The 3,805-nt window shown below is 52.1% G+C and overlaps 1 annotated feature.

Moving 5' to 3' along the window:
• Positions 2,173-2,674: an enhancer, noted in NCBI's record as "H3K4me1 hESC enhancer chr19:34073971-34074472 (GRCh37/hg19 assembly coordinates)". NCBI's record gives its function as "activates a minimal SCP1, AML or CMV promoter by ChIP-STARR-seq in primed H9 embryonic stem cells {active_cell/tissue: H9 hESC(primed)}" and the evidence as "EXISTENCE:reporter gene assay evidence [ECO:0000049][PMID:30033119]".

Genomic DNA, 3,805 nt, shown 5'->3' on the forward strand with positions numbered 1-3,805 from the left:
TCCTGGCAACCAGACCCAAAGCCACATCCTCTTGAGAGGACTGGGCAGGGTGGGGAAGTGGCCACTGCGTGGGGCTACCCCCATTGTCCACTCCACCCTTAGCTGGCTCTATGCATACCCTGAGCTGTGCAGGAGTCACAGCTCTCCCTGAGTGCCACACCCTGTCCCAAGATGGCCTGCAGGGCATTCAGAGGTGCTATTTTCCACCATGGTCTCCCTGGGCTCCTGGGAAACTCCTTGGCCATAACCTCAGTTTTCTCATCTGCAAAGTGAGGTGGGCTGGGAGCCACCACTCCCTACGATAATCCCAGTGCTTTGAGAAGCGGAGGTGGTTGGATGGCTTCAGGCTAGGAGTTCAAGACCAGCCTGGGCAACATAGCCAGACCCTGTCTTAAACAAACAAACAAACAAACAAACAAACAAAACTTAAATGGGTGTGGATGATACTGTCTTTCACAGACCCAGCGCTCCCCAGCTGCCCATGCACCTCTGCCACTCCTCCTTCCTGGATAATTGATTTCAAAGCAATGGCAGTTGAGGTGACTGGGCTGGGGTCTGTGCCGTGCAGCCCTCTAGACACAAACTCCCTGCCCTTGAGGCACCTCCTTATCTCCAAGCCCAGCCAGGTCTAGTCATCCTGGGCTCCTCGCTCTGTTTCCCCTTATCCAGGAGCTAGAAAAAGACTCGTGGCATACTCCCCGCCACCCATAGCCTGCTCAATCCACAGAGGTACAGATGATCCACCAAAGTCCGCCTCATTCAGGCCTGCTGACTACCTTGTCAAACCACATCTCCTCCTACAGCAGAACTGTGGGGAGACAGGCCCCAGGCTGGAGTGCCCCCCAGCCAGGGCCTCACCTTCAACCTTTAATGCTCCCCTTGCCAGGTTTCTGAACATATCTGCAATGACCTGAATGTGTCTCCCAAAAAGCAAAATGTTGGAAACTTGATCCTCAATCTAAGTGTTGAGAGGTGAGGCCCAAAGAGAGGTGATAAGGCCATGATGGCAGAGTCAAAGGACTAACACTGTTATCGAAGAAGTGGGTTTGTCACACAGGGGGAATCTGGCCCTCTCTTACTCTCACTGTCTCCCCCTCTCACCCTCTCTTTGCCCTTTAGCCATATTGTGAAGCAGCAAGAAGGCTCTTATGAGATGCTGACCTTGTTGATCTTGAACTTCCCAGCCTTCAGAACCACGAACCAATAAATTCCTGTTCATTATAAATTACCCAGTCTGTGGTATTCTGTTACAGCAACACAAAATGGACTAAGACAGTCTTCTCTGCTGTCTCTCCCATAGGCAGTTCTGCCAGATCCCCCAAAGCCCACCAATCCCCTCACCCCAGGGCTCCAGAAGAGGTTATGTCCTCTTTGGAGGTGGACCCATCCTGATGGCCTTGGACCTGTGGCTCCCTGGGCCTCCCATCAGCCCCTCTATTTGGAGAGTCACTGCAGCCAGGAGCCCCAAGAAGGGACTTCTCAATTCCCCAATAGTGGACACTGTGTTGCTCCACCCAGATCTCCTCTCCAGGGGCTGATGCCACTATGCTGGTCGGGGTTCTCCAAGGAGACAGAGCCAACAGATAGATAGATGATGATAGATAGATGATAGATAGATAGATAGATAGATAGATAGATAGATAGATAGATAGATAAACACACATGAGAGAGAGAGAGAGATAACAGAAGTCAGGCACAGTGGCTCACACTTATAATCCCAGCACTTTGGAAGGCCAAAGTGGGAGAATCGTTTGAGCCCAGGTTCAAGACCAGCCTGGGCAACACAGTGAGACCCCCATCTCTACAAAAGATCTGTATGTATGTACGTATGTATCTATTATCTACATGAGATTTTTTAGGGGAATTGTCTCGTGGTTATGGAGGCTGAGGTTTCCCATCCTCAGCCACCTGCCAGCTGGAGACCCGGGTATGTTGGGAGTGTGACTCACTCCAAGTCTGAAAGCCTCAGAACCAGGAAAGCTGGTGGTATAACTCTCAGTCCGAGGCTGAAGGTCTGAGAACCTGGGCTGGGGGCCACTGGTGCAAGTCCTACAGTTCAAAGCCTGGAGAACCTGGAGTTCTGATGTCTCAGGGCAGGACAGTAGGGATGTGTCTGCTCCAGGAAAGAGAGTGAATTCACCTTTCCTCTGCCTTTTCGTGCTATCCAGGCCCCCAGCCAATTGGTGGTACCCACCCACATTGAGGGCGGATCTTCCCAACTCAGTCCATTGACTCACATACCAGTCTCCTCTGGAAACACCCTCTCAGACACAACCAGAAATAATGCTCTCCCAGCCGTCTAGGTGTCCCTTAATCCAGACAAGTTGATGCCTAAAATTAACCATCATGGCCATTATCCCCATGGGAGCTGGGAATATCCCTGCCTTCTTCCCTGGGAATTCCCTTGGCACCCGGGAAGCACCTTTCCTAAGTTTATGCCTCCTGTGGGGTGATCCTGTATCCAGCGACTGGCTGATGTGGGAGTACAAAGCCCTGCCCCTCACCTCAGTTTGGGGCAACTCTGAAGGCGTGTCCAGCTCCAGGGCTCCCCCAGGCCTGGCTGAGGCCTAGCTGTAACTGCACTGGGGGGTCGCCTTCCCTCTCTGCCCACCCTCGCCCTCCCCGCTTCCCTATAGGGGGTCTCTCCTGAGAGCCATCAGTGTAAACCTCCTGCCCCAAACTCTCCACCTCAGCTGCTTCCAGAGAACTCAGCCTAAGATGCCTTTGGGCTCTGGGGCCAGGTGGCTGTGAGCACAGGGGGCACGGGCTTGCATCCTCTTGGAATTTTCACTGCAAACTCAGAGTCCTGACTTTCACAGGTCTGGCCGTCTCATGGGTCTGGCCCCATAGGCCTTCCCTAGCTCAGCCCTTGGGCAGCAGACTCCCTTTGTAATAGACACTGTGGCTCCTCTTCGATGCCCTGTTCCATACTGGGCACCTCTGCCCTGGATTCCACCATCTGTACCTGCCACTCCTCAGAAGATCACCCAGGGTTAGGGAGCTGCCCTGCCCACAGGTGCAGAGAGTCTTAAGTTCCTGGAAGCTGATGAGAGCCTGGGCAGTGCTTAGTCAATGACTGACAGGTGCAGGAGTAGGAAAGCCCAGCTCCATTGCCTCAAGGTGAGGACAGCCGGACTTTGCCTGAGATCCCAATCTTGATTGACTTCTTACTCTTCCCTGGCCTGATCCCCCCTACCTTTCTAGCATCAGGGACTAGTTTCATGGAAGACAATTTTTCCGTGGATGGTGGGGGAGGGGAGATCAGGGATGGATTGGGGATAAGTCTGTTTCACCTTAGATCCTCAGGCATTAGTTAGATTCTTATAAGAAGCATGCAGCCTAGATCCCTCACATGCACAGTTCACAAAAGAGTTCACACTCCTATGAGAATCTAATGCCACCGCTGATTTGACAGGAGGCAGAGCTCAGGCAATAATGTTCACTCACCTGCCACTCACCTCCTGCTGAGGCCATGAACCAGTACTAGTCCATGGCCTGGGGCTTAAGAACCCCTGCTTTATAACTCATTTGCCCATGAATGTCGATCTCAGGCTTCTCTAGGGAACCCCACCCAAGACACTTCTCTCAACAAGAGAAAAAAATGGAGTCCAGACAGCGCCAACATATATACACACATTCAAGCCTGGGGGGCTTGCATCTTGTAGTTTGCATGTTTATTTCAGGCCGGGAAGGACTTTCTCCCACCCAAGGATCCGCCATGTGAGAATCACTCATCCGCATTTCCTTCCATTATTTTTGAGAGCTTCATTTGTTATGATTAAAGCTTTAATCCACTATTGGAATT

The sequence above is a fragment of the Homo sapiens genome, chromosome 19 (genome assembly GCF_000001405.40).
Source record: "Homo sapiens chromosome 19, GRCh38.p14 Primary Assembly".
Lineage (NCBI taxonomy): Eukaryota > Metazoa > Chordata > Mammalia > Primates > Hominidae > Homo > Homo sapiens.